A 14396-nucleotide genomic window follows, 5' to 3' on the forward strand; every position below is an offset into this window, starting at 1 on the left:
TTTCATCCCAATGCTGACAGCTCATGTGCAAGGAGATGAGATCTAAATCAGATAGGTATAGAGACCATGCTAGCTGAGATGCTAATGAAGCAAGGACTCCTGAAGAAGGGGAACTTGACACTGTGCTGCCCACATGCTATGCTTCTCTTCTGTATTCGTAGTGAGTCTAGTGCCAAGTGTAGCCTCTGATAGTCTTTGATTTTTAATATTCTTTGAGCTTAATGGGCACTGCAGTGGTTTAATCAGGTCTTGGGATCCCGACAGGTGTTTCCCCCAGGTCCATTAGGAGTCTTCTGTTACTTTTAGAGATCGTTTTTATAGTGTAATATACTAATTTTCCTTTAATTTAGGCTCAGGTTTCTGGGACTTTTGGTCCTCCTCAGTTTGCAGATTTCACAAGCAAATTATTTTACGTTTCTTTTCTACAGACTTTACCCCTTATTTGGGATGTGTGAAAAATTTTTACAGGAAGTAGACTTTTTTCAGAGGTAAGTATTTTATAACTCTTCCGGCTTATAAAATCTTGGTTACACGGAGTATAGCACTTGCAGGCAATAGGAACAATCACAAATCACATTCCTTGGTTTAGCTTGTACAGCCAGGCTATCATCTGTGGCCATGTCGTTAACCTTAAATTAGGAAAAAAAAAACTAATTTGGTTTTTTTCTTAATATTATAGAAACTTCTTTGAAGTTGGAGCTTCAAAACTAAACCTACCAGGAATCACTTGCATTTAGCACTCAGCTAGGCCATAAAAACACAAGTAATATGAAGAAAACGTGTAAATACGTTTGTTGAAAAAAATCATTAGTCATCTGTTTTTTTAATACTGTTCGTTCACACCATTCTTATTTATTTATTTATTTATTTATTTATTTATTTATTTATTTATTTGAGACAGAGTCTTGCTCTGTCACCCAGGCTGGAGTGCAGTGGCGCAGTCTTGGCTCACTGCAGCCTCTGCCTCCTGGGTTCAAGTGATTCTTCTGCCTCAGCCTCCCAAGTAGTTGGGACTACAGGTGCCTACCACCACACCTGGCTAATTTTTGTATTTTTAGTAGAGACGGGGTTTCATCATGTTGGCCAGGCTGGTCTCTAACTCCTGACCTCAAGTGATCTGCCTGCCTTGGCCTCCCAAACTGCTGGGATTACAGGCATGAGCCACCACCGCGTCTGACCTCATTATTATTTTTTGAGACAGGGTCTCACTCTGTCACCCAGACTGGCACAGCTCACTGCACCCTTGAATTCCTGGGCTAAAGCTATCATCCTACTTCAGACTCCTGAGTAGCTAGGACTACAGGCATGTGCCACCATGACTGGATAATTTTTAATATTTTTTTTTAGAGATGGGGTCTTGCTGTGTTGCTCAGGCTGTTCTCAAACTCCTGGCTTCAAGAGATCCTCCTGCCTCTGCCTCCCAAAGTATTGGGATTACAGGTGTGAACCACTGCACCAGGCCCACACTGTTCTTATACTTGCATATTTCTCTGTAATCTACAATTGTTTTGTAATTCTGTAGGTAAATTTTATTTTGTAGAATACATATATTTTTTCAGAGTTTTATATGGAATGAATCTGTTAAAGCACATGCAGTAGTTGAATGGAAAGCTTGATGAAGAAATAGGAGTCAAGGGAGTGACCAGACTTCTGGTATGCTGGTAGAATAATACTGGGAGAAGACATAGGATCTTAAAGCACTGATGAAGTCTGTTTCATTTCTTCCGCTCATTGTCTCTGCCCTCATGAAGTTCACCAAACCTGAGGTTTTTGTGACTCTGTACTTGTCATTGGGGTGATGATAGCTTCTTACAGGGCTGAGTTGCAACGCTACCTTCACCAGCAGGTAATGCTGTCTAGCAAACTGTACCATCTAGCTTGGCTTTTTAAGATCCTAGTTTTGAGGCTGGGCGCGGTGGCTCACGCCTGTAATCCCAGCACTTTGGGAGGCCGAGGCAGGTGGATCATGAGGTCAGGAGTTCGAGACCAGCCTGGCCAACATAATGAAACCCCGTCTCTACTAAAAAATACAAAAAATTAGTAGGGCGTGGTGGTGGGCAGCTGTAATCCCAGCTACTCGGGAGGCTGAGGCAGGAGAATTGCTTGAACCCAGAAGGCGGGGTTCCAGTGAGCCGAGATCACGCCATTGCACACCAGCCTGGGCAATAGTGCGAGACTCCTTCTCAAAAAGAAAATAAAAAATAAATTCTAGTTTTGAATCTGAAATAAGTTCATGCCTTACTTTTGGCTTTAGATTCTTTAAAGTAGAGAGTCTGTTTTTGCACAGTTGGGTTGAAAAGATTTTTGGGAAGATGATAGCTCTGAATCCCCAAAGTTCTTCATCTGATGTTCTTAATTCATCCTTTGAGTTCCTGCACAGATATCACCTCCTCAGTGAGATATTTTTTGACTATCCACTGGCACGAGGCCCAAAATTGGATCAGTCTGAGCCAGGAGTAACGTACTTAACTTTTCTGAGCCTCAGTGAGGCATCATCCCCTCTGAGTCTCAGTGTTTTCTGCCACTTGAATGTAAGCTCCATTGAAGCAATCGTTTTGTTCTCTTTTGTTCACTGTGTTTCCAGAACCTAAAATAGTGCTTGGTGCTTCGTAGGTCTTAAAAATGTATTTGTTAAAATAATTAATGAATCTATAATATGAAAATAAAAATTCTAATGATGCTTAGGATTGCTGGGAGTTAAATAAGATCATGTAAAACACTTAAGAGTATGCCTGGCACATAATGGTTATCAATAAACAGAGGCCTTTCTGATGATCATGTGACTGAGGCATGATTGTATAGGTACCAGTCTATCTTGGTCGTAAATTGCAAGCTCTTCTCACTTCATCATTCTTCCTACTTCAGGGTTTGGTAGGTGTCTGGGGCCCAGCCTGTGGTGAACGTGTGCACAGTTGAATGAGTCAGTTGCTTCTGTTTGTTCCTCCAGGTATTTCATCGCTGATTTGCCCCACTTGCAGGACAGCTTTGTGGACAAACTCCTTGACCTTATGCCCCGATTCATGACATCCAAACCTGCAGAAGTGGTCAAAATTCTACAGACCATGCTGCGACAGAGTGCCTTTCTGCATCTCCCACTTCCAGAGCAGGTCAGGGTCTATTTGGCCCCTGTAGGCCAAATCTGTCCAGACGGTCAAAAATCTTTACCTTGGTGATCTTCTTTGACCAATGGAGCAGCTGGGCTAGGCTCTTCCTCTGAGTGGCTCCCACATGCCCACTCATTAGATAAGGAGACAGAAAAAAGATGTGTTTTCTTGTCCAGGAATGACCTGGCTTTAGAATCATAGGATTTTCCTCTTGCTTACAGATCCACAAAGCCTCAGCCACCATCATTGAGCCAGCAGGCGAGTCAGACAACCCTTTGCGGTTTACCTCTGGGTTGGTGGTTGCCCTGGATGTTGATGCAACCCTGGAGCATGTGCAGGATCCTCAGAACACTGTTAAGGTCCAGGTCTGTCGGGTTTGGGTCCTCGTGGAGCTTCTAGACTGACCTTGTGTTGAAGTATTTAATGTTAGTACCCCTGTAGTCTCTACTTGAGGGACAGAAACTGGGACAGGAGAAGAAATGAGCTTCTGTGGGAAAGAACCTAGGCTTGAATCTCAACTACTGCTGAGTGTGGTTTGGAGCAAGTTACTTTAAACTCTGAGTCTCAGATTCTACAACTGACAAATAGGAGGAGTTGACATAAAGAGATAATGTATTTAAAGCCCCCAGGACCCAGTAAGCGTTCAGTAAATGATAAGACCTTTTCTAATCTTGTAATGTGACGTTAAGATTTGGTCTTTTGTTACAGAAAACTATAATAAACAAGTTCCTTTCAGGCTGTGAGTCAGTCAGCTGGCAGATAAAATTTATGGATGGGAAAAAGCGATTACTAGGAAATATTCTTTCCCAAGTTACATAGATGTAATAGAGACACATGAGAAATGTAGTAGAGACACTAATCAATTCAGACAGTGCAGTTAAGCCCCACAAAGAGTACTACTCCTTCATTCATCCATCTGTCCACTCATTCATCCTTCCTTCCATCCATCTGTGCAATCGTGTTTACTCTATTGCATGCACTAAGTGCTGTGGTTGCCAAGGTAAATATGTCACAGTTCTTCCTCTCAGGGTGTGCACAGTTTCACTGAGAGACATACAAATGGGCAGGCAATTATAAAACAGGGTTTGGTGAGTAGACATGCACAGGATGGGTCATCTCCTAGACTGTCTCCTAAAAAACCCTTTCAAAGCACCTCTATCACATGCAGGGCTAAACCTTTTAGAGTATTCAATTTGGAGTGTGGTGGAGGCTCAGGAAAGGAAAGGAGAAGGGCACAAGGGATATGAGAGAAGGGCCAAAGGGATATGAGTCAAAGCAGGGATGCAAGCACTGGCAGGAAGTACAATAAGGGGACAGAAAAATAGGCTGGAACAGGCAGAGAAGGCTTCCTGGAGGAGGTAAGGATGAATCAGGCCTTGAAGATTACGCTTTTCGGCTATGGTGACAATAAAGGACTGGGCCTTCTGGCTTCCAAGCAGAAATTATTATAAATTATGAGACCTGCAGAGAACTAGTTCTGAGCTAGCTGTGAAGTTGTATTGCATATTGGAGTGTTTTTGTTTTGTTTTGTTTTTTTCCACATTAGTGGTTGTCCACCTTCACTGCACTTTAGGATTACTCAGAAAGCATTAAGAACAGATGAATAGGTGTCAGCCTACATTAATTAAATCAAAATCCTGAGAATAGGGCCTATGGACACTAGTGTTTAAGAGTTCATAGGTGATTCTAATACGTAGTCAGTGATACCAGCAGAACTACTGTTTTACCTTGTCCCTGAAAAAAAACTTCACTGATCACCTGAGTGTAAAGGAGATTGTGGGCAGGTTACTTAAGGGTCATCTCCTAGACTGTCTCCTAAACCCCCTTCAAAGCACATCTACCACACGCAAGGCTAAACCTTTTAGATACCTTATAGGTAGAGGGACAGGAAACTCACTGCCCCATCGTGGGACAGGTCCAGTGCTTTGAAAGTGCCATCCAGTCCAGTCACCACACCCTGAGTCATTCCTCTGTTCCAGGCACTACTTCAGGTGCTCGATAGAGATATAGCAGTAAACATGCCTCAGAGATGACACTGAGATTACATTCCCCATTAAAATACTGTAGATCTGTTCTTTAAAGCAAAGCCTGCAGAACTCCATTCATTAACTATTTATTTTATTTTATTTTATTTTATTTTATTTTATTTTATTTTATTATTATTATACTTTAAGTTTTAGGGTACATGTGTACAATGTGCAGGTTTGTTACATATGTATACATGTGCCATGTTGGTGTGCTGCACCCATTAACTCGTCACTTAGCATTGGGTATATCTCCAAATGCTATCCCTCCCCCCTCCCCCCACCCCACAACAGTCCCCGGGGTGTGATGTTCCCCTTCCAGTGTCCATGTGTTCTCATTGTTCAATTCCCACCTATGAGTGAGAACATGCGGTGTTTGGTTTTTTGTCCTTGTGATAGTTTGCTGAGAATGATAGTTTCCAGTTTCATCATGTTTTATGGCTGCATAGTATTCCATGGTGTATAAGTGCCACATTTTCTTAATCCAGTCTATCGTTGTTGGGCATTTGGGTTGGTCCCAAGTCTTTGCTATTGTGAATGGTGCCGCAATAAACATACGTGTGCATGTGTCTTTATAGCAGCATGATTTATAGTCCTTTGGGTATATACCCAGTAATGGGATGGCTGGGTCAAATGGTATTTCTAGTTCTAGATCCCTGAGGAATCGCCACACTGACATCCACAATGGTTGAACTAGTTTAGAGTCCCAACAACAGTGTAAAAGTGTTCCTATTTCTCCACATCCTCTCCAGCACCTGTTGTTTCCTGACTTTTTAATGATCGCCATTCTAACTGGTGTGAGATGGTATCTCATTGTGGTTTTGATTTGCATTTCTCTGATGGCCAGTGATGATGAGCATTTTTTCATGTGTTTTTTGGCTGCATAAATGTCTTCTTTTGAGAAGTGTCTGTTCATATCCTCCGCCCACTTTTTGATGGGGTTGTTTGTTTTTTTCTTGTAAATTTATTTGAGTTCATTGTAGATTCTGGATATTTGTCCTGTGTCAGGTGAGTAGGTTGCGAAAATTTTCTCCCATTTTGTAGGTTGCCTGTTCAGTCTGATGGTAGTTTCTTTTGCTGTGCAGAAGCTCTTTAGTTTAATTAGATCCCGTTTGTCAATTTTGGCTTTTGTTGCCATTGCTTTTGGTGTTTTAGACATGAAGTCCTTGCCCATGCCTATGTCCTGAATGGTATTGCCTAGGTTTTCTTCTAGGGTTTTTATGGTTTTAGTTCTAACATGTAAGTCTTTAATCCATCTTGAATTAATTTTTGTATAAGGCGTAAGGAAGGGATCCAGTTTCAGCTTTCTACATATGACTAGCCAGTTTTCCCAGCACCATTTATTAAATAGGGAATCCTTTCCCCACTGCTTGTTTTTGTCAGGTTTGTCAAAGATCAGATGGTTGTAGATATGTGGTGTTATTTCTGAGGACTCTGTTCTGTTCCATTGATCTATATCTCTGTTTTGGTACCAGTACCATGCTGTTTTGGTTATTGTAGCCTTGTAGTATAGTTTGAAGTCAGGTAGCATGATGCCTCTGGCTTTGTTCTTTTGGCTTAGGATTGACTTGGCGATGCGGGCTCTTTTTTGTTCCATATGAACTTTAAAGTAGTTTTTTCCAATTCTGTGAAGAAAGTCATTGGTAGCTTGATGGGGATGGCATTGAATCTATAAATTACTTTGGGCAGTATGGCCATTTTCACGATATTGATTCTTCCAACCCATGAGCATGGAATGTTGTTCCATTTGTTTGTATTCTCTTTTATTTCACTGAGCAGTGGTTTGTAGTTCTCCTTAACATCTGTTAAGGAGATTAATTAACATCTGTTAATGAGAACTTTCCTCGATTAAATATTCTGTCATTGGAGATTGGTACATTTCTTTGTCAAGGGCAACAGTTTTTAAGCCATTCACATACACACGTTCCTGGGAGAAGTGACACTGGGGAGATTTTTTTTTAACCCCTGAAAATGAACATATTGGAGAATACATTCATGATCTCTCCACAGGCTCTAATAAAGGGGGGGAGACCTGGGTTCTGCACCTGGCCTTGTTGTCGTGGTTACGGTTGCTTTCAGGCAATGGCACCTGTTCTCCAGGTGTGTCTGGACTTGTACTTGCTTTAGCCATATATGGCCACCAGGGGGAGGAGTCACCCCACAGTTGCCTGGAGCGCCCTCGCTCTCCAAATTCACAGCTTGAAATGTCACCTGTGGCCGTCCTGCGGTCATCCACGGTTTTCTTTCTTACCTTTTCTTTCTTTCCTTCCTTCCTTCCTCCCTCTCTCCCTCCTTTTTCCTTCGTTCCTTCCTTTTTCTTTTTTTCTTTCTCTTTTCTTTCTTTCTTTCCCCCTCTCTCTCCCTTCCTTCTTTCTTTCTGTCTTTCTTTCTATCCTTCCTTCCTTCTCCCCTCCCCTCCCCTCCTCTCCCCTTCCCGACAGAGTTTCGCTCTTGTTGCCCAGGCTGGAGTGCAGTGATGTGATCTCAGCTCGCTGCAACCTCTGCCTCCTGGGTTCAAGCAATTCTCCTGCCTCAGCCTCCCAAGCAGCTGGGATGACAGGTGCCCACCATCAAGCCTGGCTAATTTTGTATTTTTAGTAGAGACGGGGCTTCCCCATGTTGGCCAGGCTGGTCTTGAACCCCTGACCTCCGGTGATCCATCCTCCTCGGCCTCCCAAAGTGCTGGGATTACAGGCGTGAGCCACCACAGCTGGCCATCCATGGCTATTTTCACCATGCCTCGCTTTCCCCTGTTGGTTCAGTCACCCTCAAAGGACAGAGCCTCTGTGCTATAGGCCTCCCCCCCGGATCTGTGCATTGCCTAATATGACTGGACCCTCCTCCCCACCCCCCATCCTGCCCCAGCTCCTCTGATGACATCATCGGCTCTGGAGCCACCACTCAGCTTTTTGCAGGAGGGTCCCCTCCCTCCAACCCCACTGGCCCCTCAGGACCCCACATCCCCCGGCACCGTCTGGTGCAGGGACTCTTTTTTCTCCTATACCCCACGTACTGTAGAATCTAAGGTAGGGTCTATATCCTTCATGGTTCCTGTGGTCGTGTCCAAGACCTTTCTCTTTCAAAGGCAGCGGAGTCACCTGCTGTCCCTCTCAGTGACTGCTGTCTGCTGGTCTTCCGCTTGCACCTCGTCATCCATTGAGGACTTGTGTTCCTGGCTGACTGCATTCTCATCCTTCTTGCCGTCTTGTAGAGCAGCAACCCCTCTACATTCCCCCAGCAGGTTTGCAACAGTGATTTCATACAAGACGTTGGTGTCGTCACCCACGTGGACAGGCCAGGCTACTCCCCGTCTCTCTGGGCACTTAGACTGCTGAAGCTCCAGTGAGCTTTTCCAACTTGCCTCTCAGCCACCACTCCCTGCCTGCGGTCACACCTGGGACCCTCCATCACCCAGAAAGGAGACTTCAGACAGCTCTCTGCTGACCTCTCTTCTCTTGCTCCAGAACTCTCCACTTGGCCTCCCCACCTCATTGTCACTCTCTCTGTGGTCATTGCCTTCCTTAATCATGGTTCATAATTAAAATCAACTCCTGCAGGGCGAGGTGGTTCACGCCTGTAATCCCAGCACTTTGGGAGGCCGAAGTGGGTGGATCACTTGAGGTCAGGAGTTCGAGACCAGCCTGGCCAAAATGGCAAAACCCCTGTCTCTACTGAAAATACAAAAATTAGCTGGGTGTGGTGGCAGGCGCCTGTAATCCTAGCTACTAGGGAGGCTGAGGCAGGAAAAATCGCTTGAATCCGGGAGGTGGAGGTTGCAGTGAGCCGAGATCACACCACTACACTCCAGCCTAGGCGACAGAGGGAGACTCCATCTCAAAAAAAGAAGAAAAAAAACCTCCTTTTTCTCTCTCTCTCCTGACATTGTTCCCCTGGGCAAGGGTGACATGAACAGGCTGGATCTCTTGCATCTGCATCTGGACAGCCAAGCATCACTGGGAAAGCACACACTCAGCTGCACTTTCACTTTATTTATTCATCTATTTATTCATTTACTTATTTATTTATTTATTTATTTTAGTGACAGGGTCTCACTCTGTCACCCAGGCTGGAGTGCAGTGGTGTGATCAGAGCTCACTGCAGCCTCCACCTCCTGAAGCGATCCTCCCATCTCAGGTTCTGTGGGAGCTGGGATCACAGGCGTGCACCACACCATGCCCATCTAATTTTCTAATTTTCTATAGAGATAAGGTCTCGCCATGTTGCCTAGGCTGCTCTTGAACTCCTGGCCTCAAGCAATCCTCCTCACCTCAACACCCCCAAAGTACTGGGATTACAGGTGTGAGCCACCATGTTTGGCTGTACTTTGACTTTTTTTTTTTTTTTTTTGAGACGGAGTTTTGCTCTTGTCGCCCATGCTGGAGTGCAGTGGCGCAATCTCAGCTCACTGCAACCTCTGTCTCCCGGGTTCAAGCAATTCTCCCACCTCAGCCTCCTGAGTAGCTGGGATTACAGGTGCCCACAACCCTGCCCAGCTAATTTTTATATTTTAAGTAGAGATGGAGTTTCACCATGTTGGCCAGGCTGGTCATGAACTCCTGGCCTCAGGTGATCCACCCATTTCAGCCTCTCAAAGTGCTGGGATTACAGGCGTGAGCCACCGCGCCTGGCCTGGCTGGACTTTCACTTTAAATTCAGACTTCAAGTGGGCTTCCTGGAAACCCCTCTACATTCCCCCAGGAGGTGAAGGGCCTGAACATCCCTTTTCTGCCAAAGGTGCGGCAAGAGCCTCTCCCTACCAACATCTCTCTTCAGTTCCAAGGATGAAACAGATAGTGGCCATAAAAAGAGCAGAGGACAGCAGGAATAAAATTACCTCAGGTACTGAGGTTACAAGCACTGCTGGCCACCAGTTGCTCACCTTTCTTCAAGAGATTAGACATGAACAAAGAATGATGAGGTCACAGGATAAGCAAACTCTATGTCTTTAGATCTGTACACAGTATAGGCCTCCAATGTTTAGAAACAGAGAAAATAGAAAAAGGCAAACTCATGTTGCTATTTGGCCTCGGCCCTAATGGTCAGGCTGTGGTTTTCTGTTTTCTCCTGTTGTATGTGGTGCTGTGTGAGTATAATCACCAATCACATGTATACATGTCCACATGTATTTCTGCATTTCTCAACATTATCTTACAAGACATTCAACTTTAAATCAGGGGGAAAAAATTAGTACTTTTAGGGTGCCCACTATTAGAAGGTAACTAGTAATCAGGCTGTCATTGAAGCCTGGCATCTTATCTGCACTGGGTGCATGTATTAGTTAGCTGTTACAGTGTAACAAACCATCCAAAACTTATTAGCATCATAATTGAGATGGTCAGGCATTTAGGCTGGGCTCAGTGGGACCATTCTTCTGGTCTCAACTGAGCTCTTTCAGACATGTATTATCAGCTGCTTGTTGACTAAGCAGCTGTGCTTCTGGGAGTGAGCTTCTGCTTCTGGGGCTGTCAACAGAGGCAACTTGCTTCTCCTCCCCATGGTATCTTGTCTGGCTTACATGGGCTTTTTTTCATAGAGATGGCAGCATTCTGAAAGAAAAACAGAAGGATTCAATACCTTTTGAGCCTACGCCTCAAACTAGCACACTGTCATGTTCACAGGTTTCCACTGCCCTGAGCAAATAAGGCCAGCCAGATCCAGGGATTGGAAAACAGATTCTGGATCTCAATGGGAACAGCTGTAAAAGCACCTGGCAATGGGCATGGATACAGGAGGGATAAAAAATTGCTACCATTTTTGCAATAAGCATCATTCTGCCTTTTTTTGCGCATGTAGTTTATAGAACTCTTCCACATCAATAAATTGTCCAAAGACCCACAGCTACTAAGTGGCTGGGCTGGGACTCAGGATCAACTCCGTGTGACCCTTGAAATCCTGGAGAGTGACATTTCTAAAATAGAAGTCAGATTTCTTTTAGATTTGTGCCCATATAGTACTGTTTATTATTAGAATAATCTTAAAATGGCTGGGCATGGTGGTTCACACTTGTAATCCCAGCACTTTGGGAGGCCGAGGCAGGCAGATCACGAGGTCGGGAATTTGAGACCCAGCCTAACCAACATGGTGAAACCCCGTCTCTACTGAAAATACCAAAAAAATTAGCCAGGCTTAGTGGTGGGTATCTGTAGTCCCAGCTAGTTGGGAGGCTGAGGCAGGAAAATCTCTTGAACCTGGGAGGCAGAGGTTGCAGTGAGCAGAGATCACGCCACTGCACTCCAGCCTGGGTGAAAATAAATAAATAAATAATCTTAAGGAATTGCAGAAACACATGGCGGCTCACACCTGTAATCCTAGCACTTTGGCAGTCTGAGATGGGAGAATCACTTGCACTCAGGAGCTCAAGTGCAGCCTGGGCAACATAGTAAGATCCTGTCTCCATAAAAATTTTTTTTAAAAAATTAGCCAGGCATGATGAGGCATGCCTGTAGTTCCAGCTCCTCAGATAGCAGAGGTAGGAGGATTACTTTACTTGAGCCTAGAAGGTCAAGGCTGCAGTAATCCATGATTGGTTACACAACTGCACTGTAGCCTGGGTTATAGAGTCAGACCCTGTCTCAAAAAAAAAAAAAAAAAAAAAAAAAGAAGAAGAAGAAGAAGCAGAAAAAGAAAGAAATTGCAGGAGCATTTGAAAAGGACATAGAATAATTTGGAAAAAGTAGCTAAAGGATGAGTTGAGAAAATCAAAGCCAAAACCACACATGACTTATTTTTTATCATAGAAAAAAATTGAAAATTAAAAAAAAAACTCTAGAGAAATTAAATGTTACAGAGTTTAATTGAACAAAGAATGATTTGCAAATCAGGCAGCCTGTGGAGCCAGAGTAGGCTCAGAGAAACTCCAGCACAGCCACATGGTAAGAAAATATTGATGAACAGAAAAAGCAAAGTGACACACAGAAAATGAAAGTGAGGTACAGAAACAGCCAGATTGGTTATAGCTTGGGATTCGCCTTATTTAAACACGGTTTGAAGATTTGATATCCTTTTAGTGGGAAAATCACAGTGGTTAGTACAGGAATGCGTTACAGTTAGGTTTCAGTTTACTATGTACAAAAAGAAAAAAAAAACTATTGACCAAAATTAAATGAAAGGGGACAGCTTCAGGCTATAACTAATTTAACAATTTCTCGCTTTTGGTTATCTTCTCAAGTTTGAGAGACAGACCAAAACTTTATACATTATATTCTGCCATCATCAAAGATATACTTATTTAGTCTCAAATCTCACTGTGAAATAGCAGAACTGTGAGTTTTGTAAAGTGGAAATGAGAACTTGAGGATATTAATTTTTTAAAGAATTACAGTAGAGGGGACCTCTTTATGTTAAAATTTGCTGCTTACAGAATAAAAACAAAACCTGGCCTGTTTTAGCATCTACCTATTTTCTTAAATTTTTAGTTTGAGTATGTCATATTTAGCATGAGTGACTCCATTTTGGTTTGGTTTGGTTTTGTCTGTTTGGGCCTGGTGCGTAAGCTCAGTCCAGAATAATAGCCTCCAATAATTTCTTTTAAAAATTCCCCCGTTTTGGTTAAGTTTTCACATACGTCAGAGTGTGACCAAAACTTAGGGCCTTAGTGCCTCTCTCAGTTTCCATTATTTTGGGTTTTTGTTCTTATCATGTCATTTATAGGTTATGGTGTCCTCATGGTCGCATATATCTTTGAGTTTTCATCATTCCCATTAAAGAGAGACCATTTGACATTCTAGAGATGACTGCATGCAAACATTTATAACTTTTGAGAGAATACAGTGCAATAGGGAGACTACTATTTTGACTATCAGGAGGATAACACCAAGAGTTTGAAGTATGCTTTTTAACCAGGGTCCCCATGAACAAACCAACTAAAATTAAATAGATCAAATAATTAGCTAAATAATTGGTCTACTCATTTCAACCAAGGAGTCTGTTTCTTTTTTCTTTTCTTTTTTTTTTTTTTTTTTTTTTTTTTGAGATGGAGTCTCACTCTGTTGCCCAGGCTGGAGTGCAGTGGCAAGATCTTGGCTCACTGCAAACCTCTGCCTCCCGGGTTCAAGTGATTCTCCTGAACACTAAACACAAAAATTAGCTGGGCATGGTAGCGCATGCCTGTAGTCCCAGCTACTAGGGAGGCTGAGGCAGGAGAATCGCTTGAACCTGGGAGGCGGGGGTTGCAGTGACCTGAGATCATGCCACTGCACTCCAGCCTGGTGACAAAGTGAGACTCGTGAGACTCTGTGTCAAAAAAAAAAAAGACCAAAAAAAAAAAATTATGTCGTCTTACATACCAGGACTTTTTCTCCAATTTATGTGCATAGCACTGATAACTGAGTGGTTCTCATAGGTAATTTTACTTGGACCACAGAGTTTATTTAAAGAGCACATTTAAAAAATTTCAGTACTTGCTGATTTAGCGTAAAAATGTGGCAGAGTATTTTTCTGATATTCAATTAATTTTTGTCTTGCCTGGGCTCACAGTTTTATGAATCCGTCTTTTCATGGGAATGCTCATGATCCTTACCCAGTTCAAACAATATGATCCTAAAATTATCAGAAACAGGACTCAACTTGTCTGGTCACTTTCCATCTTTTCATGAACCTCCTAAAGACACAATACTCTGGGATTTTGTGTGCTTTTGAGGTTTTTAGAAACTAAATAAGAATTAAACCATTAACTGTGAAAATTACTTAAATGGTTATGAAAAAACAAATAAAAAATTGATTATATCTGTTGCCTATATTTGTTCATAATAAACATAATTATGACTAATAGCATATAAAGAGATATATATTAGATTTTTAGAAATTCTATAAAATTTTGGAATAAATATTAATAACATATTCATTAAAATATAAGTTGAAGGAGGTCAAACATCATTTTTTTTTTTTTTGAGATCGAGTCTCACCCTATCGCCCAGGCTGGAGTGCAATGGCATGCTCTCGGCTCACTGCAACCTCCACCTCCTGGGTTCAAGTGATTCTCCTGGCTCAGCCTCCCAAGTAGCTGGGATTTACAGGCATGTGCCACCATGTCCAGGTAATTTTTTGTATCTTTGATAGAGACGGGGTTTCATCATGTTGGCCAGGCTGGTCACGAACTCCTGACCTTGTGATCCACCTGCCTCAGCCTCCCAAAGTGCTAGGATTACAGGTGTGAGCCACCGCGCCTGACCCAAACATCATTTTTAATTTGACCGTGCTTCCCATGCAATTTAACATATCAAATAATCCTGTTTATCACTCTCTTGGATGTTGCATTGGCTCTCTGTAG

The 14396-nt window shown here is 42.9% G+C and overlaps 1 long non-coding RNA gene and 1 pseudogene across 4 annotated transcripts in view; one reads left to right on the forward strand and one right to left on the reverse strand.

Moving 5' to 3' along the window:
- INTS4P1 (integrator complex subunit 4 pseudogene 1) overlaps positions 1-14396 on the forward strand; it is a 93193-nt pseudogene that overhangs the window by 68296 nt on the left and 10501 nt on the right. Inside the window, exons 13-15 of one of the 2 annotated variants that reach the window (NR_146906.1) lie at positions 429-488; positions 2948-3107; positions 3326-3469. The product of NR_146906.1 is annotated as an integrator complex subunit 4 pseudogene 1, transcript variant 2 (transcript). The remainder of the gene's footprint in view (positions 1-428; positions 489-2947; positions 3108-3325; positions 3470-14396) is intronic. The other variant, NR_146905.1, reaches the window with a different exon arrangement.
- Positions 10238-14396, reverse strand: part of LOC124901661 (uncharacterized) — a 32854-nt gene continuing 28695 nt past the window's right edge. For both annotated transcript variants that reach the window (XR_007060366.1, XR_007060367.1), the window contains exon 2: positions 10238-10674. This is a non-coding gene — a long non-coding RNA (uncharacterized LOC124901661). The remainder of the gene's footprint in view (positions 10675-14396) is intronic.

Source organism: Homo sapiens, chromosome 7 (assembly GCF_000001405.40).
Source record: "Homo sapiens chromosome 7, GRCh38.p14 Primary Assembly".
NCBI lineage: Eukaryota > Metazoa > Chordata > Mammalia > Primates > Hominidae > Homo > Homo sapiens.